This window comes from Homo sapiens, chromosome 7 (assembly GCF_000001405.40).
Source record: "Homo sapiens chromosome 7, GRCh38.p14 Primary Assembly".
Classification (NCBI taxonomy): Eukaryota; Metazoa; Chordata; class Mammalia; order Primates; family Hominidae; genus Homo; species Homo sapiens.
Window position 1 is genome coordinate 143,831,794 of NC_000007.14, and position 26,922 is coordinate 143,858,715.

General features: G+C 41.1%; 1 protein-coding gene, 1 long non-coding RNA gene and 1 pseudogene across 16 annotated transcripts in view, besides 2 other annotated features; 1 reads left to right on the top strand and 2 right to left on the bottom strand.

Moving 5' to 3' along the window:
- Positions 1 to 4,924, bottom strand: part of LOC154761 (family with sequence similarity 115, member C pseudogene) — a 24,750-nt pseudogene extending 19,826 nt beyond the window's left edge. Inside the window, 2 exon segments of the transcript NR_015421.1 lie at positions 1,454 to 2,090; positions 4,847 to 4,924. The product of NR_015421.1 is annotated as a family with sequence similarity 115, member C pseudogene (transcript).
- Positions 4,799 to 4,898: a silencer, noted in NCBI's record as "silent region_18726". NCBI's record gives its function as "represses an Ori minimal core promoter by ATAC-STARR-seq in GM12878 lymphoblastoid cells {active_cell/tissue: GM12878}" and the evidence as "EXISTENCE:reporter gene assay evidence [ECO:0000049][PMID:35858748]".
- Positions 4,919 to 5,058: a silencer, noted in NCBI's record as "silent region_18727". NCBI's record gives its function as "represses an Ori minimal core promoter by ATAC-STARR-seq in GM12878 lymphoblastoid cells {active_cell/tissue: GM12878}" and the evidence as "EXISTENCE:reporter gene assay evidence [ECO:0000049][PMID:35858748]".
- The window catches only part of LOC112267988 (uncharacterized), a 23,447-nt gene continuing 1,494 nt past the window's right edge, over positions 4,970 to 26,922 (top strand). Inside the window, exons 1-4 of one of the 7 annotated variants that reach the window (XR_002956524.2) lie at positions 7,157 to 7,242; positions 8,336 to 8,698; positions 11,300 to 11,459; positions 12,569 to 18,341. This is a non-coding gene — a long non-coding RNA (uncharacterized LOC112267988). Of the gene's footprint in view, positions 5,316 to 7,156; positions 11,460 to 12,568; positions 18,342 to 26,922 lie in introns of those variants that run through there. The other 6 variants (XR_002956525.2, XR_007060572.1, XR_002956521.2 and 3 more) reach the window with 6 other exon arrangements.
- Positions 19,582 to 26,922, bottom strand: part of TCAF1 (TRPM8 channel associated factor 1) — a 50,802-nt gene continuing 43,461 nt past the window's right edge. For 7 of the 8 annotated variants that reach the window (XM_006716191.3, XM_005250074.5, NM_014719.3 and 4 more), the window contains 2 exons: positions 25,307 to 25,557; positions 19,582 to 22,349 (listed from right to left, as the gene is read on the bottom strand). In XM_006716191.3, the coding sequence (XP_006716254.1) occupies positions 22,340 to 22,349; positions 25,307 to 25,557 (261 nt within the window). In that variant the 3' untranslated portion in view covers positions 19,582 to 22,339. Of the gene's footprint in view, positions 22,350 to 25,280; positions 25,558 to 26,922 lie in introns of all 8 variants that reach the window. The other variant, NM_001206938.2, reaches the window with a different exon arrangement.

Sequence of the window (26,922 nt, forward strand, 5' to 3'; positions counted from 1 at the left end):
ACAATCTGTAAATGACTAACATTTATTGTTCCTCATTCAGAGAACATCATGTGTGCGGATGTTCAAATGTCAGCTCCTGGACAACTTCAAACAAACAGGCTTGATCAAGACAAATTCTCCTACACTCCCTTGTACCTACTCCTTGCCCTCTGCCTCAGGGTCACAGAACAGCTGCCTTCAGCTATTCTCCCCTGGAGCTTTGCAGAGCCTTCCGACCTTATAGAAGGGCCACTCCCTTTCCCTTGGAACATACTAAGCAGGCTTCCCTTCCAGGTTTTCTCACCCTCACTCCTCACTCTGCCTGGAATCTTCCTCTCACAGATGCCCACATGGCTCATTCCCTCACTTCCTTGAGGTCTCCTTTCAAGTGCTACCTACCAGACCAGCCTTCCAAGCCGGCCATGAGCTTGTTTGCACTCATCTCTATTCCCCTTTCATCTTGGTCATCCTCCGTGTTGCAGAAAACTGCATTTCTTTGGTTCTCCTGTTCCCTGGATCCTGGTGGGTTCAGCCCATGGGAGAGAGAGGTAGAAGACTGAAATCAGGAAGGAAGAAGGAAGGAGTTTAAGTGTTTGCTTCTCTCTTCAGGCTGTATTTCTGGTAACCACAGTGTCTTCTCTGAGACTCCAGCTTCTAGCAGACAGACCTTTCATCTGTGGTTCCAGCTCCTGCTGGGAAGGCATAGCATGGCTCCAGCTTCTACCAGGTGGCCGCAGCACCTGGACTTCAGTAATACCACCATCTCCCTCTGCTGGTTCTGCTGTTGCTGATCTCTGGGTTACTTGCTGTCCCCTGTGTGTATTTTCAGCTCCTCTATCATGGGTATAGTCAATTCCCCATACTAAATCCCTTCTGCTAGCAACGCCAACAAATCCTGACCAATCCAACTTGGTCTGACTGATAGGACTTCCCTGAACGTCTTAAATAAAATAGCCTCCATCAGCCTTCCTGTTGTCATGCTATCCACTTATATTATCATCTTTCATGGATCTTAGCAATACCTGATAGAGCACATATATATTAGTTTCCTTAATACCTATCTCTCCCCTGGAATACAAACCTCATGATGGCATGACTTGCCTGCCTCGATCTCTGCTAGACCCCCATTGTCCAGAATGCAGCATGATCAACAATCGGTGCTCACGCAAACAAACAAATATTCTTTCATGCATTTAAGAGGTACTGATGAGCACTCTCTAGGTTCTATTTACTAGACATGGAGATAAAGTGGTAAGACAAGCTTTTCTATTCAGCTTTGGCCACAGGAGGGAGTGGCAGTGAGGGCCCAGCCTCTCTTGTGTCTTGGTGCATTTTAATCATCCTGCTTTTGATTTGTGGTGGTTCCAAACTGAGTGGAAAATCACCTGTATTGCAATGGAAGCTTGTTGAAGAGGGGAACCAACTCTATTGTTTATCCTGAGTCAGACTCCCTAAGAGGGGAACAAACACTCACCTGACATGGAGTGGGATCTTGGGCACCTTCTTAGAGACCTTGAACCGGTCTCTGTCCCCATAGGTGTCAGTGAAGTACACTCCGGCTACACTTGTCACCTTGTTCCCAGGGAACCTGGAGAGCACCTTGTCAGGGCCGTGCTGGCTGGCCCAGTACCAGGCCTGGCCCCCGATTAACAAGCCCCCTCCATGTTTCACAAACTGGATCAGCGTTGCAGTCAAGGTGTCATTGTAGGCATTGATACAGTAAACCCCTAGGGGCTCTCCTGGTTCTGGCTTGACCTGTGCCTCAAGCCCAGCATCCTGTAGGATGTTTACTAGAGGTGCCAGGGATGGATGCACTCCCACGGGAGCCCCAGGACAGGGACAGAGCCAGCTCACTGCATTGAGGAGAAACGGAGCCAAGCCAGCATGCGACAGGTAGCCCTCATGGGACACAACCACGAGGCGGCCTCGGCCGTAGGAGGAGGCAGCAATGAGCACCTGGCCCTTGTCATTCACCATCACGGGGAAGGCGGCTTCTCCAATAAGAAGGAGTTCACTGGGGATGGGGCCTCTGGGGACATCCCAGCATGTCACTCCATCCATGAGGGCCTCAAACGCAGCAGCAGCAATGGTCGCCATGGTTCTATCAGCTGCTGCAGGGGGAAGCAAAGACTTTCATGTATTTAAGAGATACTGATAAGCACTGCTGGTCAGAACAGATGAAGGAACAGGTGAAAAAAGCAAACAACTAAATGCATTCACCTCCAAATTTTACTGGATTCCCCATTGTGGGCCAAGCACTGTTCTAGCACTGGGAGTACAGCAAGAAACAAAACAGATAAGGTTTCCCTTTTCGTGATTTGAATATTTTAGAAGGAGAAAGATAATGAATAAATAGGTAGATAAACAGATAAATAAAATGCAACAATCACTATGATGAAAATAAAACACAATGATGTGACATGGAGGAACTGGAAGACTACTTTAGATTGGGTGATAGGAAAGGACTCTGACAAAGTGGCATTGAAGCTGAAACCTGAAATGCAGTGAGCAAAGGGCATTCCAGCAACGAGACCACTTTGGGGTGGCTGAGAGCCAGGAGCAGGGAGGAGCAGGACCCCAGGAGGAGGGAGGGACGGGCTAGATCCTGCAGGGCCAGTAAATCAAGGTGATAGTTAAGTTCGTGTGCCTGAGTGGACACAGTGCTTGATTTTTTTGAACAGAAAGGTCATAGACCTGTCAAAACATGCCTTTCTTCTGACAGCTTTGCTAAGTTGGAAAGTGCCCCCTAATTTATCAAATCTGCCCTAATGGAGAGGACCCTCCTCTATTTGGTAGCATTATGCAGTTTCCGGAGGTCTTTTAAAATTGGCTGTGCCTAACACTGAGACTATTTGTCCCTTTAAGCAGCCCCTCTTGGATAAATGACTTCAGTCTCAGTTTCCCCATCTACAAAAAGAGAATAATACAGCCATGGGAAGATTGTTTTTGAAGATTAAAGGAATATGGATAGGCCAGGCGCAGTGGCTTATGTCTGTAATCCCAGCACTTTAGGAGGCCGAGGCCGGTGGATCACCTGAGCTCAGGAGTTTGAGACCAGCCTGGCCAACATGGCGAAACCTGTCTCTACTAAATCTACAAAAAATAGCTGGGCATGGTGGCGTGCACCTGTAATCCCAGCCACTTGGGGAGGCTGAGTCATGAGAATTTCTTGAACCCTGACGGTGGGGGGCGGAGGTTGCAGTGAGCCGATATCGCACCAGTGGACTCTAGCCTGTGCGAGAGAACAAGACTCTGCCTCAAAAAATAAAATAAAATAAAATAAAATAAAATAAAATAAAATAAAATAAAGTAAAGTAAAATAAAATAAAGCAAAGAATATGTCTAAAAATGCCTTGTCTGGGGTTGGTACACATACAGTGAGCACGGAATAAACGAGAGTGTCTGTCCCTTTGCTGTCCTTTTAAGTTTCCCGGGTTGCCGAGGGCAGCGTTGCAGATTGCAGTAGTGCAGTAGTCCCCTGGCTGCCTGTGCCGCCTCCCTTTGCGCGTCTCTGACGAGCCCACTGTAAGGGACTTTCCTCTGTGCTCTGATGGCTTCTCACCTCTGCAGGTGCACAAGGCAGCCCTGAAGTAGCGGTGAGTTGACACTAGGGTGAGCTTCGCCCAGTAGAGCGGGGATTCACAGAAGAGTGCCCCGTGGCTTTCCCGAGGTGCCCATCAGAGGTCCTCGGAAGGCACCCGGAGGAAAGGAGCGCCATGTGGAAGACCCTCAGCCACATGCTCCTCCTGGCTTTCCCTTTTTTCCTTGTCTCATTCTCTCCACTTCCTCATTTGGGCTTTTTGGTCTCACTTACCCCCAAAAAATTACCTGCAGGTAAGCCCTTGCATAAGGCTTTGCTTTAGGGCAGAATCTAAACTAAAACACACACCAAGCCCTTGAGCCACAAGTGCCTCCTTCCTCTCTCCCTCCTGCTTCTATATGCAGTCAACCACCTCATTTGGTTAATCTCTCACCATCTCTCTCAAACATCAGTCCCTTTAGTTGGCAATCATTCCAGACTAAACCAATATGGTTTTAGTCCCCAGGATGTATTCTCATCCACAATCGTCCTCTACAAGAACTCTAACAAGAACCGTTACATTTCGTCCACTCTCTCTAAGGTGAAACTTGCAGAGCGCCTCAGCCTGGCTTCTCCAGGGTCTGGCATGCCAGTGATTACTGGACGTTTTTCCTGCTACTTTCTTCCACTAAATCTCTCCAAGCTCGGAAAGGTTGGCATTCTGAGCATGCCCTGCATTTCCTGTAGAATTCCATCTCTTCCCCTCTTCCCTTCCTATCCGCCACCTTTTTCTTAATACTGCTCGCGGGAAAGAAATTCACAAAAGAGAGCCAATACTCGGCAGAGCATTGAGAATGCGGGTACCTGATCTCAGCCTCAGAAGTTACCAGTGGAAAAAAGCAGCCGAGAGAGATCCGGAAGCCTGAGCTCAAGATCGTGCTAGCTACCTCCCAGAAGACAAGCGACGTCTTTCACTTCTGGGGCAGTACCAGTTTGACAGGATAAACAAAAACAGACAAAAAACCTCAGATGAGTAATATGTCCCGGAAAGCTGACCCAGCATTCCGCAACGAAATGTGCCCTCGTGCACGCACACACCATGCACATCTTTGTCAAATTCGTAATTTACAAGTTCAAATAGGAGGGAGAAACGTGTTTTGAGACAAACTGCAAATAGCACCAGACTAACAAAACGAAATGAAACCAAAGACCTAGACCTAAGAAGGGAGGGACACCCCCTGACGCCGGGTATGGTCTGGGGCCTCCAGCACTTTGCGGCGACCCCCAGTGCCCTAGGTGCTCAGCTACCGCCCCCACCCCAGGACCCGCTGGGATTGGAAAACTCACCCCTGAGCAGTGCGGATACCTAGGGACTGACGGACAGGCTCTGCAGTGGCGCCCGGGGGACGTGTCGGAGGCGAGGCGGGGCGGGGCGGTCCCGGAGGCGGGGCGGTCTCGGAGGTAGGGGCCGTCCTGGAGGCGGGGCCGTCTCGGAGGCGGGACTGTCCTGGGGACTGAGCTGTCTCGGAGGTGGAGTCCTGCGGTCCCGGAGGCGGGTTGTACCGTAGGCGGGGCTCTCTCGTAGGCTGGCCGGTCCTGGAGGAGAGGCTGTTCTGGCGGCGGGGCTGTCTTGGAGGCTAGGAGGTCTCGGAAACTGGGCTGTCCCGGAGGCGGGGCACAGGCTGGGGTGAGGCGGAGCCGACCCTGAGGCGGGCCCGGGGCGCGGCTACCGCTCCCTGAGCCACGCCCGTGGTCTCCCGTTCCATCGGTGGACCCCACCTCGGGCCGTGCTGCGGGCTCTCGGGGCGCCTACCAGGTGAGCGACCCCGCCTTCCCGGAGGGATGCTTTGGCCTGCATGGGGCCCCAAACCGGCTCCCTCAGGGTCTCTGCGGGTTCTTGGATGCGAGAGGGGACCCAGCCAGTTTGCTGTCGCACTTGATAAGAAAAGCAAACCCTAAGTCTCCAATAAACCATATTTGGGGCGAATAGTTCCCTAACAACAACGTATGCCACGGGGGAGGCCCCGCGTGGAATCAGGCTCCCTTCCCTCCGATCTTGGGGTGGGCTCAGCAGAGCCGGTAGCCGCCGCGTCGCCTCCGTCGCTCGAGCCTCTGCGTGGAGGGCTGCCCCCTAGTGGTCAGCGGCGGGCCATGCACTTCGAGCCCGGTGGATGCTTATGGCCATGGTGCGGGGTGCTCAACTAGGGCATTTTTCTCTCAAAGTATCCACAGAAATGCTGCCCAGCAAGTTATATTCTTGCTGGGAGGGAAACGTGCCTGTGGCATCACTAACACAGATTCGTCCGTGCATGGCTGGAGAAATTAAGCTAAAGCTATAGAGTGGCTGGTGCTCGAATTTCTACGCAAGAGAGGTCAGAAGGTGAAAATCAAGGTGGAAGGGTGTGGTCAGGAGGAGGATTTGGTGTAGTCTGGAGTTTAGGAACGTCTTACCTAGGAAAGTGATGACTGTGCTAGAATGAGGGGAAAAAAGTAGTCTGTCTGCATTTTGCCCACCATTGAGTCCTCATTGCCTATTTTCATTTCTGACATAGAATAGGCTTTAGTTTCTTAATAAATAACTAAATATATGCTAAATAAATAAGGATATAGTGAACGTCCAAAAATATCTGTCGAATTAGTGAGTTAATAACTGACTCTTCGGAGGACTAGTGGAAATCTGATTGGCAGAGGACCAAATACATTCAGGTTTCAGAAATAAAGAGCAAGGAGAAACTTACACAGAAAAGAAATTGTGGATAAGACTTGCCAGAATTTGGAATAATTCCGGCTAGAAATCCAACGTGCGGTGAAGTACGTTGAGTTCTTAGGCTTCATATCAGGGAACAACTGACCTTTGGGAGCTGAAGTGGGAGATGGACATCAAAGAAAGTGGGTCAGTAAAGTTCCACGTTAAAAGCTGATTCAGGCCCGGGTGCGGGGGCTCACTCCTGTAATCCCAGCACTTTGGGAGGCCGAGGTGGGTGGATCACCTGAGGTCAGGAGTTCAAGACCAGCCTGGCCAACATGGAGAAACCCCGTCTCTCCTAAAAATACAAAAATTAGCCGGGCGTGGTGGCACAGGCCTGTAATCCCAGCTACTCGGGAGGCTGAGGCAGGAGAATTGCTTGAACCCGGGAGGCGGATGTTGCAGTGAGCAGAGATCATGCCACTGCCCTCCAGCCTGGGCGACAGAGCGAGACTCCGTCTCAACAACAACAACAAAAAGCTGGCTCGGTATCTTTTGTGTGTTTGTACTCTTAGGTTTTAACCAGTCTCCACCTACATCAACCTCACTCCTCATGGTAAAGTACTACTATTGTTCTAAATTAACTCCTGAGAGTATTTTGGTGTTGCTCTAATAGAAGAAAGGGGCTTTAAACAAAGGTGATTTTTCCAGGGTCAGAGAGCAGAAAGTACCTGCCATTTGGGAGCAGGAGCTGCCTGAGGAATGGAACCTAACAACATAGGAACGGCATAACGGTTCCTAAAAAAAAAAAAAAAAAAAAAAAAGAAGAAAAAAAAGATTAAAGATGGTAACCAGCATTTACGTTCTGACTAAAGGGTGTCCGAGAGAGAATACAGTCATGGGTTCTTAGTTTCTGTTTTTGGTTAGGCGAGTAAAACCCCTTCCTCATCCCTCTTTTCCCCTTTCACTAGAGACAGAAACTAAAAACCGTGAGTTCAGGCAGCTAGAAACCTAAAATAAAAGAAAACGGAACAACAACAACAACAACGAAAATAAGGTGGGTTGGATAAGCTTCGAAATGGTTACTGCTTATGCAAAGGTGCAGGCCCCAGATCTTTCCTTTTACTTGGGAGAAAACAGACGCCATTCAGTGAAAGTCAACATATCCTTACTGGACACTTATTCTGTGAGGCACTCTGGGAGATAGAAATGCTATTATGGTCAGTAAATCTAGAGAGGAAAAAAGACAAGAAAACAACTATACCAAAATTGGCTACGAATCAGGTGCAAGGGCACATAAAAGAAGCAGCAATTATTTCTGATCAAAGGATTAGAGAAGAATGTGCACAGAAGGTGACACAGAAACTCAGCTTAGAAAAATGTATATTTGCGGGGAGATAAAGGGGAAGGTATTACAATGTGAGGCTGTATAAGATTCCAAAGCACAGAGATATGAATGTGAAAGGCTTAATTTGAGAAAGACAAAATGTTCATAGTGACTGAAACTTGTTAGCAGAACTTGCATAGTGCTAGCTCTAAAGAGAAGTTTGGGCTCGGTTTAGAGGGACTTTGGCTGCCATACTAGGGAGTTTGGATTCCATTCTACAGTGTGGAGGAAGATTTTTTAAAAGCACCATTTAGTAAACACTGTGGTTGCCTCCTCAACATCTATTCCCTACACTACCCCTATTGTCCTTTCTAACCAAATCCATTTTTTTTTTAAATCAGATAATCCACCTCTCCTTTATGAGATTCAGGGGACAATGAATTCATCTCCATTTCCAAGGATAGATCTGTATTAGCTTAAATCAGGCAGGCTAACTCATACTTCTTGTGCTTCCATGACAGACTCTTTCTGGGTTATACGTAATAAATATACATAAACAATATTATACTTCATTGTCCAGCATATACAAGAGGCAAACACAAATCAGAAATATTATCTTTACCAGTGGTACATGAGTCCATTTTTTGTCAAATAGAGAGCAATTGCTGCAGTAATTGCAGTTTATCACTAAGCCAGATGCAGGGGTTACTCATACATATGCCTTCTAATTGTGGGCTACTATTAATAGTCACTGGCCTCCTTCTTAAATTATTTTCAGTCATGAGCTTAACTTAATGTGGTACCATATATTCTTTCTTTTAAGGACCTTAAGAATCTGGGAAGAATTAGCCACACTCTAATTTAGGAACAGAGATGGATGAATCCACCTATGGACATTTACTGGTATGAGTCACTGGGGAAGTTCACTAAGTCACTATTTAAGATGATCCAGAACAGGTGTCTACAGCTGCCTTAAGAATGAGTACTATGGTGGTGATGAAAATGTTCCTCTCAGATGTCCAACTGCAGGGGGTGGGTATGAAATTGCCAGATGGCCCCAGCTGGTGTGCTCTGGAATCCTTGGCGCCAAGGCCATGCTGCCAGGGGCTTCTCCAGGCTGGTGATCAAATGTAGTGAGGATCCTCAGGCAGGCCCATTCCTGGAAGACATGGGACTCTCCCGATAGGTGAGTTTGGCTCAAGGACTCCTCATGGTCCTGAAAGAAACTCTCTGAGACCTGTACTTCAGTGGAAGCCTGTCTTTCCTTTGCTGTCTCCTTCCCAAGGGTTAAACCTACATTGCAGTCTAATGGTGGCTCTCCCGGCCTTCTCTGGCTCCCTCGACATTTTCTCTCACAGGCATTTCCTTTAATAAATCTCTCGCATATCTGATCCTGTCTTGGCTTTTGCTTCTTGGAGGACCCAGAATAACACAAGTACTGTCATAATTATATCTCCTCACTTTAAATCTCTCAAGTGTAATTACTAAAATTGTGTTGTAGTGGAAGTAAAAAGCAAGGTTACTAACTTGAGAGTATCTATGAAACACTCACCCATTAAGTTTCATTCTTTAGTACATTTATAATAACTTTTATTCCAATTGTAGCATGGTCTATCTCCAAGGGCAAGTTCCTGCCTGCGTCTTCATTGAAAACAGTGGAACTTTGAAGCAATGGGGGAGTTTGTTGCTTCTCTTGACAAGCGGCCAGCCCTAATTCAGAGTTATAAAAGTTTTCATATTCTGCTTTTGGCATATCTGTAAAATATACTTGGGCATACATTTTTTTTTTCTGTTTGGATCATAAGTGTGTGAAACATACGTGGTAAGAGCCAGTTATATTCCAATCACAGAGGATGTCTTGGAACACATCACTGCCACTCCAGAGGTACTGAAACTTTCTTCCTCTAGTAAGGAACATGGCTGGGGTGGGGGTGAGAAGAGATATTCTTACATTTATAAACTGTTTCTCCCACCACCAGACCAGACATAAAGTTTGATTTTGTCCTGAAGATTTCAGTTGTCTTGGAGCCAGTGGAACTGAGTTAGCCCAAGAATGAGAGTGGATGTCCTTTTTCTCTTTCTGCCTTTGAAATATCAGGTTCATTGGACAGGTGCTCAGTAGATCCAATTTTCTTTAATTGCACCTACATCAGTGTAATATAAATGTCTTCATTCACAATCCCACAAGGGTTGTAGATATCAATATGCCGGGGGATAGTGTATGGGAATTGAGGGTCATAGTAGGTCAATACTATATAAGAAAATTCCTACAGAGAGTGAGTCTAAATCCCTACTCCTATGGGACCAGCGACTATTATTGTCTATTTATTTACTTATTTGAAAATGTAAACAATTATTTCCCAGTGGACTAATTACAAAGTTCCTGTGACATCAAGATCATTCCTTCTCAAGGCTTTTCACTATATATTGAGACGTGTAGTCTTAATTTCATTTTGGTTTGCCCCAAGACTTCCACCAAGTCTAGGGGATCTGTACGGAACTATCCTTTCCCAAGGTACATCATGCATACTTTCTGCTATTATTTTTTTTTTCAGTCTGTCCCTTGTGGTCAATCAAGAGAAATGCAGACTTGAATCTCTATAAGAAGAGCAAAGGTTCTCCCTTTTTAAACCTTTGAACTGAGAAAAAAAAAAAAAAGCAGCAGCTCCTGCCATCCAGAAACTTGTCTGGCGCTAACAGCGAGGCCATATTGTTCTCCCATTGTACAAAAACAATTTCAGAAAACATCAACATCAGATAAGGTCACTCAGAGACCGTCATAAAGTAAGGCACATACACGATCACCATGCAACCCACAAAATACTGATCATCCTTCTGTTATCTAAAATGAGTAATTGCACGTTTTAGAAACCAATCGCAGCTTTATTCTCATTTTATTTATGTTTGTTTTTGAGACAGAGTTTCACTCTTGTTGCCCAGGCTGGAGTGCAATGGTGCAATCTCAGCTCACCACAACCTCAGCCTCCTGGGTTCAAGCGATTCTCCTGCCTCAGCCTCCTGAGTAGCTGGGACTACAGGCATGCGCCACCATGCCCGGCTCATTTTGTATTTTTAGTAGAGACGGGGTTTCTCCATGTTGGTCAGGCTGGTCTCAAACTCCTGACCTCAGGTGATCTGCCCACCTTGGCCTCCCAAAGTGCTGGCATTACAGGCGTGAGCCACCGCGCCCAGCCTTTATGCTTATTTTAGTCAGCTCTCCTTGTATATGTATTGAGATCGTAGTTGTAGAATTGTTTCTGGTTCTTGACAGTATGTCATCCAAAACAAAGTCTCCCTTCTTCAGACACTTCCCAAAACTATCCAACCAAAGCCCACAGCCTATAATAGGTTCTTTCTGACACCTTTTTACTGATATACCCACAGTTCTCTATGGTGTGCATTTTCCCTAGCTGCAATGAACAACAGATTCAACTTGTTTAATTATAGGTGTGTTTCCATTGGTCTTTGGCTGTAGGGCATTAATAATATTATGTACTATTAGTGCGTTAATAACATTAATAATGCCCTATAGCCAAAAGTACTTTTACCAGTGCTAGAGATCCACCAGGCTTTCTGCTAAAGGTCACTCTAACATTACGGACACAAGTCAGTTGTTTGTCTTTTAATGCTTTTGCCAGCTGAAATAGTTTATCTCAGAGTTTTCTATGAGGATCTGAGATTTAACTCTGCTCTAGGTGTTGAGAGCAACAAGCTCATAGTGCCAGTTGTCTTGTGGTTAAATGTCAAAAGCCTTAATTAAGGCTTATTATTTTCTCCTTTGGAATAGGTCGGCTCCAAGGCTACACAAGCAGCAAGAAGAAAAGGAAAAACTCTGTTTTATTAAAGCTCCACTTGCCTATCTACCTTGGTGGAGGGTCAAGAAAAGGTTTATAACCTATTTGCAGGTTTTAGGCTCCTGTTTGCAGCACAGAAACCACAGACAATAGGTAAGCCTGCTGGGCCCTGGCCTACGGGGTCTGTTCAGGAAGAAGAGGGGTCTTCTCTCTAAACCTGTGAGATCTCTTCTAGACTCTTTTATAGATTGTTTTTATATTGTATGTTTGATCATTTTGTCCTCCCCTAACCCCCTTTGGGCACTATCTCAGACTTTAAATATTCTAAATAATTTTGGCAGTATGTGAAAAATGAATTTTATGTCACTAAGCGATTCATGGAAATATTTTTTTAGTACCTACATGTACAGATTTCTTAACCAATTATGTATATTTGAGTTCCTAAGAATAGAAGTAACTTTTTAATGACCTTCAGGTACACATATTTGTATTAAAATAAACCTTGGTTCCTAACTGTCATCATTGGTCACTACATTTTTTTTTTAAGTTGCAGTTGCTTCCCAACCTCTATTTATCTTTCATTTATTTACTCATCCCTTTATTCTATTTATTTCTAATATAATGAGCACCTATGAAACGCACCCAGTCTCAGACTAGAACATCAATAACTTAAGCTACTCAAGCTTTCCTATCAAAGAAATGCTTCTTTATAGCACTGAAATGCACAAGAATCCAAATGCATAGGAAGCATTTCTTAGTTGTCTTGATTGTGAGGTAAGTTGTTTTTTTGTGTAGTTAGAAGAAAGATCTCTGAGAAGTTGAAGATCACCTTCTGCCCACTCCCTATTGAAGACTGACTGCAATGATGTGGGTCAAAGAAAGAAATCATTTTAAGAGTAGAAGCCAAGCAGGAGTACAAAGGCTTTGTAAGGAGTAGAGAACAGAGGAGGGAAATAGTCTTGAAAGAAGGGATAGAGTCTGCTACTTTTGTTGGCAAAAAAGAGTCAACATCTAAGGCCTAGTTACCTGTTGGCCTGTTAGGTACATATATTAGGTGAGGTTTTGACCTTGGGTGAGGACATTGCTTTAAGCACTAAATAGATCAGATTAATCCCGTGAAGAGGAGATAGGAAGTGTTTCTGATAAATACTGCTTTGAAGATTGGCTGCAAGGCCAATACTCATCAGAGAGCTCCAGTTGACTATGGGAGTTAGACAACAGAGGAAAGTAAACTCATGACATATTTCAATTTCTCTTTACAGAAATTCAGACTCAGTGGTGTGGCAGAAGATAAAATAATTTGGGTTATTTCTGTGATAACATGGGCAATCTGGAAACTACTCCCATTTGTGAGGGTAAATCTCTATTATGATACATGGAAAATAGGACAGATGCTAATTCAGGTAAGAAAAGGTCTTTGTATTATACAAATATTTACCTTCAGACAGAAATGTTAATGAAGATGGAGAAGGAACAGTTACCAAGAAACTAGGGATAGTAGGACACAAAAAACCTGGTAACCTGGTAGTGAGTATGAACCAGTCTGGTGCCTTGCCTCCAGAGGAGCAGCAACTGAGCAGAGCTACTGGACAACCAGCCCTGCACTTCCCTAGAGCACAGACCAGCTCACTATGCAGCCACCAAGAGATAAGCACCGAAGGAGAACCTACCAGCCATGGATCCTCAGAAAACAGACCAGCTAAGTGCCCAGCCTTCAGGGGACAAGCAGCTGAGTGGGCATACCAGCCACACAAACTTCTGCAGCCAAGGCCACTGAGGTACTTGCAGGCACCACTGACATTAACTACAGCTAAAGAAGCTGCATGGAGACTACACTACTGCATCCACCCAGAACAAAAACAAATGTACCTTACCCAACCAACATGCTAGGACACATCTGCAGGTGTAAGTCTTTTCCGCTGAAAGTTATGCTACCAAGTTAGAAAAGGTGATTATTCCATCAGATGCACAGATGCCAGTGCAGGGATACAAGAAACATAAAAAAGCAAGGGAACATGACACCACCAAAGAAACACAATAATTCTCTAGTAACTGACCCCAATAAAAAAATAAAAATTTATGAATTGCCTGAAAAGGAATTCAAGATAGTGAGCCTAAGGAAACTTGGTGAGACATGAAAGAACACAAACGGATCATTCAACAATCGGGAAAAACAGTTCATGATCTGAATGAGAAATTCAACAAAGAGAGAGATATCATAAAAAAGAACAAAATAGAAATCTTGGGGCCAAGAAATTCAATGAATGAAATAAAAAAACGCAATTGAGAGCTTCAACAGCAAAATAGATCAAACAGAAGAATTTTTGAACTTGAAAACAGGCCTTTTGAAATAGTCCAGTCAGAGGTAAAGAAAAAAAAAAAGGAATGAAGAAGCCTATGGCATTTATGGGACACCATAAGTGAACAAATGTTTGCATTTTGGCAACTTAAGAAGAAGAGATGAAGAAAGGCAAAGAAAGCTTATTTAACAAAGTAATAGTTGAAAACTTCCCAAGTCTTGGGGAGATATGGACATCCAGATCCATGAAGTTCAAAGGATCCCACAAAGATTCAACTCAAAGAGGTCCTCTCTGAGGCATATAACCAAACTGTCAAAAGTCAAAGACAAAGAAAAAAATACTAAAAGCAGCATGAGAAAAACATCAAGTCACATATAAGGGAATTGCCATTGGACTATTAGCAGATTTCCCAGCAGCAACCTTGCAGGCCAGGAGAGAATGGGATGATATATTTAAAATACTAGAAGAAAAAAAGCTGCTAGCCTAGAATACTATACCAGCAAATCTTTGCTTCAGAAATGAAGGAGAAATAGTCTTTCCCAGATCAGCAAAAGTTGAGGGAACTCATTACCACTGGACCAGACTTACAAGAAATGCTTGAGTATTTCTATTGGAAAAAAAAGTTTTCATGATAATTGCTACCATAAAAAAACATGAAGTATAAATCTCACTGCTGGAGATAAATGCATTATCAAATTCATAATGCTTCATTACTGCAATGGTGATATGTAATGTTTCAAACCTCTAGTATGAAGGTTAAAGGCCAAAACAGCTGGGTGCTGTGGCATGTGCTTGTAGTCCCAGTTATTTAGGAGGCTGAAATGGAAGGCTCATTTGAGCCCAGGGGTTTGAGTCCAACCTGGGCAACATAATGAGACCCCATTTAAAAAATAATAATAATTAAAAAAATGCAGCTCTGTGGGATGCCAAAAAGTGAAAATTGTAATAATGATTATAGCAATGATAAGTTGTTAAGGAATAAACAATATATAAAGATGTATATTAAAGCAACAAAATTATAAATTTGGGTGCAGAATGAAAGTCTAGAGTATTGGTATGCAATGAAAGTTAACTTGTTATCAGCTTAAAATAGTCTATTATAAGTATGAGAGATTTTTAATGTAACCCCAATACTAATCACAAAGAAAAAATTACAACAGATATACAAATGAGAAAGAGAAAGGAATCAAAGCTTAACACAACAAATACCCTAATCAAGCCACAGAGATAAACATGAGAGAGGAAGAAAGGAACAAAGGATAAACAAAACAACCAGAAAATAATGAACAAAATGGCAGAAGTCCTTACCTATCAATAATAACTTTGAATGTAAATGAAATAAATTCCCAATTAAAACATACGCCGTGGCTGAATGGATTAAATTAAAAAAAAAAAAAAACAAGATTCAGCAACATGCTGCCTACCAGATAGGCACTTCACCTATAAGGCCACACATAGACTGAAGTGAAAGAAGAGAAAATGAAATTCTGTGAAAATGGAAACCAAAACAAAGCAGGGGTAGTAATACTTACATCAGACAAAATAGACTTTAAGTAAAAAACTGTCAAAAGAGAAAAGAAGGTCATTATATAAAGAAAGATAAAGAAATCAGTTCAGCAGAAGGTTAGGACAGTTGTCAGTATATGAGCACACAACACCAGAACACCCAATATATAAAGTAAATATATAAAGCAAATATTATGAGATCTAAAGGGAGAGAAAAATTAAAATAAAATAAAAAAGGACTTTAGCACCCTCTTTCAGCAATGGATGGATCATCTAGATAGAAAATCAACAAAGAATTATCAGATTTAAATTACATTCTAGACCAAATAGCCCCAGCAGATATTTATAAAACATTCCCCTCAATAACTACTGAATGTACATTTTGCTCAACAGCACATGGAACTTTTCTCCACGATAGAATATATGTTAGTCCACAAAACATATCTCAAGCAATCAAAAAAATCAAAATCTTATCAAGTATCTTCTCTTACCACAATGCAATAAAAACTAGAAATGAATACCAAGAGGAACTATGGAACATATACGAATATGTGAAAACTAAAAACAAGTTTTTACAAAACCAGGGCATCAATAAAGAAATTAAAAAGAAAATTTAAAAATTCCTTGAGACAAATAAAAGGAAACATAATGTACCAAGACCTATGGGATACAGCAAAAGCTATTCTAAGAGGGAGTTTATAGCAATAGATGCCTACATCAAAAAAGTATAAGAATCTTTTATAAAAACTTTATGTGGCACCTCAAGGAATGAGAAAAACGAGGGCCAGCTGAACCCTAAACTACTAGAAGAGAAGACTGATAAAGATCAAGCAGAAATAAGTGAAATAGAGCCTGAAAATAATATAAAAATCAGTAGAACAAAAAGTTGGTCCTTTGAAAGATAAACAAATGTTTTAGCTAGACTAACAAAAAAGAGAAGACTCAAATAAATATAATCAGAGCTAAAAAAGGAGATGTCACAGAAATACAAAGGATCATAGAAGACTTTTATGAGCAATTATATGCCAATAAACTGGAAAACCTAAAAGAAATAAATAAATTCCTGGACACATGCAACCTACCAAAGTTGAACTACTATGAAGAAATAAAATACCTACACAGGCCAATAATGTGTAACAAGAATGAATCAGTAATAATAAGTCTCCCGTCAAAGAAAAGCCCAGGAACTGATGACTTTACTGCTAAGTTCTACCAAACATGTAAATAATAATATCACTTCTTTTCAAACTATTCTAAAAAGTTGAAGAGGTGCAAATTCTTCCACACTCATTCTATGAGGCCAACATTATCAAAACCAGACAAGGATAACTTGATAAAAAGAAAACTACAGGCCAATCTCCTTTATCAACATAGATGCAAAAATCTTTAACAAAATATAAGTGAAACAAATTCAACAGCATATTGAAAAAATAATTCACCACAATCAAGTGAGATTCATCCCAGGGATGCAAGGATGGTTTAACATATGTAAATCACAAATGTGATACATCACATTAACAGAATGAAGGACAAAAATGACATAATCATTTTAATAGACAAAGAAAAAAATTTGATAAAATTTAACATCCCTTCATGATAAAAATTCTCAGCAAATGAGATGTAGAAGTAATATACCTCAACACAATAAAGGCCATAAATGAGAAGCTCATAGATAACATCATACTGAAGAAGTTGAAAGCTATTCCTCTATGATCTGCAATAAGACAAGGATGCCGCATTTATCACTTTTGTTGAACATACTACTGGAAATCCAAGCCAGAGCAATTAGGCAAGAGAAATGAAAGGCATCCAAATAGGAAAGGGGGAAGTCAAATTGTCCTTGTTTGCAGATGACATTATCTTATATATAGAAAATCCTAAAGATTCCACAAAAAACTGTTAGAATAAATAAATTCAATAAAGTTGCAGGATACAAACTCAACATGCAAAAATCAGTAGTGTTTCTATATGCCAGTAGCAAGCTACCTAAAAAAAGATATCAAGAAAGCAATCCACTGACAATAGCTATAAAATAAATACCCAGGAATATAGTTAACAAAGGAGGTGAAACATCTTGAGTGGAAACTATAGAATATGGATAAAATAAATTGAAGAGGACACAAATAAATAGAAAGATAATAATGAATTGCAAAAATTAATATTGTCAAAATGTCCATATTATCCAAAGCAATTTACTAATTCAATGCAATCCCTATTCTTCACAGAAATAGAAAAAAAAATCCTAAAACTTCTATGGAACCACAAAAGACCCCAAATAGCCAAAGTAATCCTTAGCAAAAATAAAGCTCGAGGCATCACACTACCTGACTTTAAAATATACTATAAAGCTATAGTAACCAAATCAACATGGTACTGGTATAAAAATAGACACATAGATAACTGAAACAGAATACAGAACAGAAATAAATCCATGCACTTACAGCCAACTGATTTTCAACAAAAGTGTCAGCAACATGCATTAGGAAAAGGAGAGGCTTTTCAATAGATGGCACTGGGAAAACTGAATATCCACATGTAGAAGAATAAAATTAGACCCCTGTCTCTTACCATATGTAAAAATTAGTTCAAAATTGATTAAAAACTTTAATGTAAGACCTGAAACTGTAAGCATCCTAGAAGAAAACATGGGAGAAACAATTCATGACATTGGTCTCGGCAAGAATTTTTTGAATAAGACCTCAAAAGCATACAACAAAAGCAAATATAGAGAAATGGTACTATATTAAACTAAAATGCTTCTGTACAGCAAAGGAAACAGATTGAAGTTAACTTAAGGAATGGGAGAAAACATATGCAAACTATGCATCTGACAAGGGGTTAATGCCTAGAATATATAGAAAAATAACTCAATAGCAGAAAAATAAATAATTCCATTTAAAGATGGGCAAAATGCCTAAATAGACATTTCTCTAAAGAAGACATACTAATGCTTAGCATCACTAATCATCAGGGAAATGCAAATAAAACCATAATGACATATCACCTCAGTCCAGTTAGAATGGCTATTATCAAAAAGACAAAAAATAACAAATGTTGGGGTAGATGTGAAGAAAGAGGAAGTCTCATATGCTGTTGTAAATTAGTCCAGCAATGATGGAAAACAGAATGAAGGTTCCTAAAAAAGTTAAAAAATAGAAGTACCATATGATCCAGAATCCCACTACTGAGTATATATCCAAAGGAAATAAAATCAGTTATGTGGAAGAGATATCTGCATTCCCATGTTTATTGCAGCATTATTCACAGTAGTTGCATGGAATCAACCTAAGTGTCCATCAGTGGATGAATGGATAAAGAAAATGTGGTGTATATATACAATGGAAGACTATTCAACCATAAAAAGAAATTTTGTCATTTGTGGCAACGTAATTGGGCCCAGAGGACATTATGTTAAGTAAAATAAGCCAGGCATGTAAAGACGAATACTGTACAATCTCACACAAAAGTGGATTCTATAATTTAAAAAGTTGATTTAATAGCAGCAGAGCGTAGAATAGTGGTTGCCAGAGGCTTGGGAGGGTAGTGGGGCAGGGGAGATGGGGATAGACTGGTCAACAGGTACAAAGGTTCAGTTAGATAGGAATAAGTTCTGGTGTTCTATTGCACAGTAGGGTGACTATAGTTAACAATATTATATTGTATATTTCAAAATAGCTAGAAGAGAGGATTTTGAATGTTCTTACCACAAAGGGATGATAAATGTTTGAGGTGAAAAATATGCTAAATACCCTGATTTGATCATCACAAAATATATACGTGTATCAAAACATCACACTATACCCTATAAATATGTACAATTATTATGAGTCAATTAAAAGTAAAATAAAACTTAAAAAAAAGAAACTTGGTGGCCTAAAGATTTCCACTAGATAGTTGGCTGTTTCTCCCAAGTACAGGGTTAAAAATAGCTGAAAAGAGGTTACGATGTTCAGGGAAAGTAGCAAAGAGTACACCAGGGAGACTGACAGATGGACAGAAATGCTCTGACACTAGCTGGCCTCATATAAGACTAAAACTTATTAAAGCTGTCAAATGAAGGGGAGTGCAGGAAAGCTTAGGGCCCTGGATGGTCCTTCTTGAAATGTTTCCCAGAACAGGGGCAAACATCAAAGGCCTTCTTGGAAAAGAATGAAGTTGGCAAACTTCATTCAATGCTGTATTGGACATTCCTTCATTCAACAAATATTAAAACCCACTAGATGGTAAGCTTACTCAGCAGACATGGTGAGATCAGCAGTAGGCTTTGTTTTTTGTGGAACACCTATACAAACAAAAGAATGTGAAGTGTGTTTTAATAACTGGAAGATACTTAATCTGGTTGGAAATAGAGACTTGTGGGGAGATATCATGAGCCTGGACACATCAAGTGGACCTAGATACTTGAGGACCTTGAAAACCATTTTAAAGGCTTTAGCTGGGTTGCATCTTAATCAATGTGAAGTCACTGGAAGATTTTTATTTGGGTTTATTAAAAATTTTTTCAAAGTAATACATGCACAAGGTAAAAAATTAAATAGTACAGAAGGACTTAAAATGAAAAACACAGTTTCCCATCCCACCCTTTTTAAATCTAAATCCCATTCCCTAGAGGTAATGCTTTTAACAATATTTATTTTAGATCGTCTGGTAACTTTCTAACTTTAAATAATATGTTTGAGCAATAATTTCTTGACTTACTGACTTTACAACATCTTTAATAATTCCCCATTACAAAAGATAAGGATTTAACTTACACTATCGCCACTTTCCTTTGTCCATCTCTCTCCAAATGTCTGATAGTTACATCACTTTTTAATACATCTATTGGTTTGATTTTATAGCTTTGAACAATACACTAATCCTCTAGTTCTTGTTCCATTAACTGAAGATCTTTTCATCCCCACTTTGAATATATAAGTATCTCTACCTTTGATTCCACTTCTCTTCCTCTAATTCTCAATCTCTTTCTGCTTTCTTTCCCTTTGTCAGCATTAATTACTTTCAACTTCAGTTCTGAATAAAAAATGAAACCTTTCACACTTTGTTAATAGGCTGATCTGAACATTGAATACTAATAAATGATATCCACATTATTTTGGCTATTTAAATACTTCTTACTGGGAGCCTAGTATAAGCTAGGATATTTTCTTCCCTACACACCCAATATCATCATGCCTGTGCCATAGAAAAGGAAATGTACCTATCAAGCCTCTTCTTATTCTTCATGAATAACTCAAAATCATGCCTCATTTTATTTTGCTCTATAATTGGACCTGAATTTTTTGACATATTGTTGATTTGTCTTTCTTTTTTCTTGACTAAATAATCTTCTCAAGCATCCCAGCTCTTCAATGATACTATCTATGGCACTGAATGCACATTCTTCCCAGAAAGCCCGAGACAGTATGCTCTCATCTGAAATTAGTCTGCTGGATAGCTGTCACTCTAGGGTGAGATACCCTTTTGGCTGTCACTCTAGAATGAGACATCCTAAGTAAGGTCCACTGTTTTATGGATCCCATTTCTTCTTCTTTCCTGGTTTTCATCCTCATTTTGCTGGAGAATTTCCTCAAGATACTTCCTCAGTAAGGGTGCAAAGGAGACTTTCTGAAAATTTGCCTGACAGAAAATGTCTTCACTTTGATGTTCTTCTTGACAGTCTGCCTTACTATGAAATTCTAGGTACAAAAATTTTCCTTAAGCTCTGAAGATGTTGATCCATTGACTTCTGGCATTCAGTGTTGCTGATGACAAATCTGTTAGCAGTCTATTTCTCATCCATTTTTGTGTTGAGCTAATCGTGATGACCTCATTTGTTTTCTCCCTGGCCACTTTAATATCTTCCTTCTATCCTTAATATTCCAAAATTTTACAATATTGTGTCTAGATGTAGATTGTATTGGGCCCTCTCAATCTGGAGACTTAGCTTGCTCTGTTCTTCAATTCTTTTTCTTTTTATTTCTTCACCTACACTGTCTCTGTTCTCTCTTCCAGGAACTCCTAACATTACATATTGATTGTCTATGTCTTTTTTCTTTCTTTATATTTTTCTATCTATTTCTTTTTGCTCTTTATCTGGAGAGATTCCCTCAACTTTATTTTCCAGACTGTATACCAAATACTTTTAGCAGTCTTATTTTATTTTCAAAGAGATCTTCTTATTCTCAGTCTTCTCTTTCTTTTCTTGCTTTTTAAGAGACAGGGTCTCACTCTGTCCCCCAGGCTGGAGTGCAGTGGCACCATCATGGCTCACTGAAGCCTTGAACTCCTGGGCTCAAGTGATCTTCCCACTTCAGCCTCCCAAGTAGCTAGGACCACAGGCACATGCCACCATGCTTGGCTAATTTTTAAAAATTATTTTGTAGAGACGGGATGTTGCCATCTTGCCTAGGCTGGTCTCGAACTCCTGAGTTTTCCGTTTCTTTGTAGTATCCTGTTTTTCATCTTAAATACACCTCAAATCTCTCTGGAGATGGAATTAAAATTAAGTTATTCTTTCCACATTGTCTTTGTTTCCCTCAGAGTTTGTCATATTTTCAAGGCCCCTAATTCTACCTCGTGACTTTTCTTATTCCTCTTCCCTCCCCATCGCCCATGTCTGGGAATTTCTAACTCACCATTCCCATTTAAAAATCAACATAACTGTTAACTTGTATAACAGTTGGCATGGGTTTCCTCTGCTGTTGTACAGTTAGGTCTGTTTCTTCAGGAAACCTCTTCTATACCTGAAGGCAACAGGCACTTGAGTAGGAGGTCTCAGCTGTCAGTAGAGAATTAGCTGACCGGCTGGGGGTAGGGGCACTTATTTCCACTAGAAGAGAAATTTTTTTCTGGAGCACCAACTCTTATCTCTCTGCAAGCAGCCTGTTCAATTCCTTTATACAAACAACAACAGCAACAATAACAAGAAATTTTTAACTGGTATCAATAGTGGAGACTGCCTGTGTTCTGTGCATAAGAGTTGGGGGAGAGTAGGAGAGGGCTCAATCTTACAACTGGAGTAATTCTTCAGTAGACAAGCTTTTCAGGTGCGCAAGTCTCTTTGGGGTTATGTTGTTCAGATCAGCTTACATTTTATCTGAAAGGTTCTTCACTCTTTCATTATCATGCTTCATCCACTTTCTATCTTCCAGAAATATGCTGAGATCCTCTCCACTTATAACCAAATCCCTTCAGTTTTCTTTGCTGAGATGTGTCAGTTCCTTTTTGCATTTCTTGACTTCAATTTCAGTGGGGCCTGGGGAGGGAGGGAAGGTAAACTTATGTTTACTCCATTATCTCAAATTAGAAATTCCAGTGGAGGCTTTTAGACACGGAAGTAACATGGATAACTTTATATTTTAAATATATCCCCGGGATGTACTGCTAAAAATATATTAAAGAGGGCAAGGATGGATACACATATTCTCAAAGATGGAGGATCTAATTTCCTCTCTGAGAACATGCAGTGTTTGGGATCTCTGGGAGTCAGGCACTTCACTGAAATAGTCCATCATTCAAAATCCAACAAACTAGAGAACACTTTCATGGTACCCTAGAAAGAATAACTGAAACTTGAGTAATGCAGAACCTAAAAGATCTGGCTGATGCTAAAGGGCTCACTCCAGCACTATCTATTGGGAAGCACTTCAGGAGCCTACCTTAAATTCTTTGAATTGTCATTTGGGATAAACAAAATGATTTTTTGTTCTGATAAAAGTAGATGATAGGTAAGTATATGCAGCCAAAGCTCTGGCAAGTAGGAACATAATGATCCTTTGGTTTGCTGGTCGGCTTCTTTATTTACCCATTGATGGGGTCATTCAAAGCACTGTAGTTATGAATGCCCATTCTGTAATCAGAATGCCTGAATTCAAATCCCAGATCAACCACTTATTAGCAATATAGCCTTAGATAATTTACCTTATCTTCCTTAACTTCAGTTCTCTCGTTCATAAAATAAAATGGGAGTGATAATGGTTGCCATGTCATGAGATTATTGTGAAGATTAAATGAAACAATCTATAGAAAGGAATCACTACAATAACTGGTACACACCCAATAATTGATAACAATTATTTTAAATGTTGAACAAATATCCAATGTCTCATGTTTAAAGCACCTAGGCAATGGATATTTGTGCAATCAGGAGAAATAATCCTAGGACCGACAAATAACATGACAAAGAAATCTACTGGGAGGCCGAGGTGGGTGGATCACCTAGGCCAGGAGTTCGAGACCAGCCTGGCCAACATGGCAAAACCCCATCTCTACTAAAAATACAAAAAATTAGCTGGGTGTGGTGGTGGGCACCTGTAAGCCCAGCTACTTGTGATGCTGAGGCAGGAGAATCGCTTGAACCTGGGAGGTAGAGGGTGCAATGAGCCGAGACGGTGCCATTGCACTCCAGCCTGGGTGACAAGACTGATACGCTATCTCAAACAAACAAACAAAAATCCAAAGAAAAAACTCTATAGGTCAAATCTTACAGTCTACATATCTACCCAATTACCAATTAAGCAAATAAAATGATATATTAAAATAACTAAAATAAAAAGTGAGCTAAAGAAAAACTGGCTGGATGTATATGACATCAACCAAAAGGACCCAACTTTAGTTAAAACTGTAAAGAAATAGGGGATTCTGAATAAAATTAAAAAGAAATAAGTTTGGGTCAACTCTATCCAATCATCTTGTTTCAGAGTAAAGTCCTCTATGTGTGTGGACTTCGTCTGCCAAACTGTTGAGTAACTCTTGACAGGCACTATGTCTTGAATCTGTGTTACAGAAATAAAAACACTGTCATGAAACCAGATACCCTCTGTTTGCTAAGGACAAATGTCATTATGGAATTGATCTGGTTTCTTCAAGACATCTACTCTTGATTTAATCAAAGAAGGAATTGGATCTGTAAAATACAATTGGATAAGGAGATCCAAGGAAGAGCTCCAAATTCACAATGAGGTTCTTATAAATAGCTTTACAAATCTAAGTTAAAAAGAAACAAAATTTTTTAGCTATTTAAAAAAACCCATTGTGAATTTAGAGTTCTTCCTTTAGATTCATAAGGCAACATAGCAGAATCCTTTCAGAAGTTGCTGTATAAAGTGCAAGATGGGCTAGGATTAACTACAACTGCCTCTGTAAATGTCATCTAAAAATAAAGTCTAGCTCATAAAGAGTATTGAGTCAATTAGATAATAATAATGGCAGCAGACATTTTCTCAACACCTACTACCTGCCAGGGACGGTTCTCATTGCTTTTTAAAGGTATTATAAAATGTAATCCTCACAATGATCCTATGAGATAGATCCTATTTTATAGATGAGAAAACTAAATCACAGAGAAGTTAAGGAAATTGCCAGGGTTATACAACTCGTAGGTGAAAGAACCAGGATTTGAACACAGGGAAGCTACTTGTAGAGAGAGTTATCCTAACCTCTAAATTCTGGAGACAGGATGGAAAGTAGTAAGCTCATTATCCTGTGGACCAGCATAAAATAGAAAATCCCCTTAGATGACATGCTCTGCAGACCTCACAAGCCTCTTCAGAATTTATCACTCTGAACCTCCACGACAACCCTGTGAACTGGGAATTTTTATCCCCATTTTACACACAGGAAATGAGAGTACCAAGTTGAAATGACTTTCCCGAGAGCTAACCCTACCTAGTTCTGGGCTCTTCCCACTATACCAGAATGCTTGTCTACTTTGAAAACTACTCAAGTCACAAAATATATGAGTCCATCCAAGAGCTATCTGGGTCTCACGGTAAATTTGTGTTCCAGTTGAGTTTTATGGTCAAGTTTTTGGAACAACTGTTCAAAAACAAAAGCCCAAAGGGAGTCTTCAGGATGCCAACATGAGAACTACCCCCTCTGGGCTATGACCTATGATGGTGAATCCAGGGCTGATATAGAAGCAGGTGCCAAAGCTCTTGGAACTGGGCCAGTGCAGGGTCAGGAGGGAATGTGACAGCTGAAAGCAGACGAACAAGATGCAGAAACAGAAGCCCTTGCACCTGAGAAATTCTGATTCCACTTTTGGCTGTGTTCTGAACCCACTTCCTAGAGACAGAGGTCGGTAATAAGGTATAGGGCAATGAACTAAGAGGACAAGGCCAGACCCTGGGAGGCAGAGGTAGAGGAGTGAATCCCCACCTCTGCCTACCTCCCCAAACCTCTCTACCTGCCACCTCGATGGGCACTCCTTACATCTGTGTGAGGAGGTACAATTTCATAATATTTTCCTTCCATTCAGGCAGATAGGCCAGGCTGGTAGCCACTTCCTTCTGGATGGGCCAGGCCCAGGCCTCAAAGAACGGAGCCAGGTTCTTCTGCACTTGGTGGGAGAACATCTTGACCCACAGATTCATTTTGTCAACATTTTCTGTGGGCAAGTTGGTCTGGTTCCTGTACTCGGTGAAGAGACGGATGAATGGCTCCCAACCAAAGGCTTCCTGGAGCTGGGAAGAGAAAGAAAAATACAGATCAGATTTGGAAATAAAAAAGGGTCCAACAACAACCACTATAATAAGTGAACTTAGTATATGTAACCCCTTACCCATCAGCTTCACGTCTATCACCGACCTGCTCTCCTCCATTTTGCCTCCTGGCCTCATGCCCTGCTCTTCCACATTCTAATCTTAGGAAGGGCCTTGGGACCAGCACGGTGTTCAACACCAAGTGGATACTAAATCAGTGAGGGCCATGGTAACAACTGCAATGATTAATATCAATATTTTCTACCAGTATCATTACCCACGTATCCCACTAGATCACGCAAATAGAGATAGGATATTACACAAGGATTTAAAATTGGCAGAATTGGAAAAATCCTCTTCTCAAGAGTTGAAAAGTGAAACCTCAACAATAGGGAAACTTCCACCTCATCCTGGCACAAAGAAATCCTCATTAATCATAGATCTTTGTCAATGTGCAAGGGTATTAAAATGGCTTTTGGGGAAAAAAAGTGAGTTGGATAGAAGTAGAAGACTGCAGATTGTCTGGGTAACTAGAATTAAGAATAAGTTGTAATTTTTGAAAAAGGCAGCCATCTTGAGGCTGTTGAGTTACAGAGCTTGAATTATGAGGCACTTGAGCAGTTCCCCAGACCAACTTCACATTTATTTCACCAATGAGAAACTTGGTGTTCCTGGGGCAAAGCAGCCATAACAAGGTTAAAGTGGAGCCTCCTTGGTTTTCCCATAATTCTCACGGCAGTGGGAATGAATAAGAGAGCCTCCAGCAGGTGGAAGAACCAGAATAGAGCATGCTTGGCCTGAGACTGAGTTCTGAAATTCAAGGTGATGAAACTCTCCAGTTTCATGCCAGGAACTGATCCAGGCATTGCAGGGAGGGAACTAGGCATTAAACAACTGGTCAAAGGCAAGGCCACCTCCTTGTCCAGGTCAGTGAGGACTCTTGGATTGCCTACATAATGGGGGCTCTGAGGCACGGCCAAGGCATAGTGAGAAGATGGTACATTCATCTAAGGAAAAAAAAAATAAGTCATATCCTATGGATTATGTGTATGGTTGGGGGGAACTGGTTTTAGATAGCTATTAAGTAGGAGAGTTTGGCTTCAGTCTCAGGTATGTCTGGCTTTAAAGCCAGAGAGAGTGAATATATGTATAGTACTTTATTTGTCTCTACCATTTTTAACCTTTCTCAGTGCTTTCTATTTACTATCATATATCTCTATGGGGTGGAAGGTGAGGCTCAGGCAATGAAATCCACTTGAGGGTCATGCAAGGCGATGCACTAAGAGACATCATCAATACGACTGTCACAGTTGGACTTTGTCAGGGCCTCCCATATCCCAGTGTGGG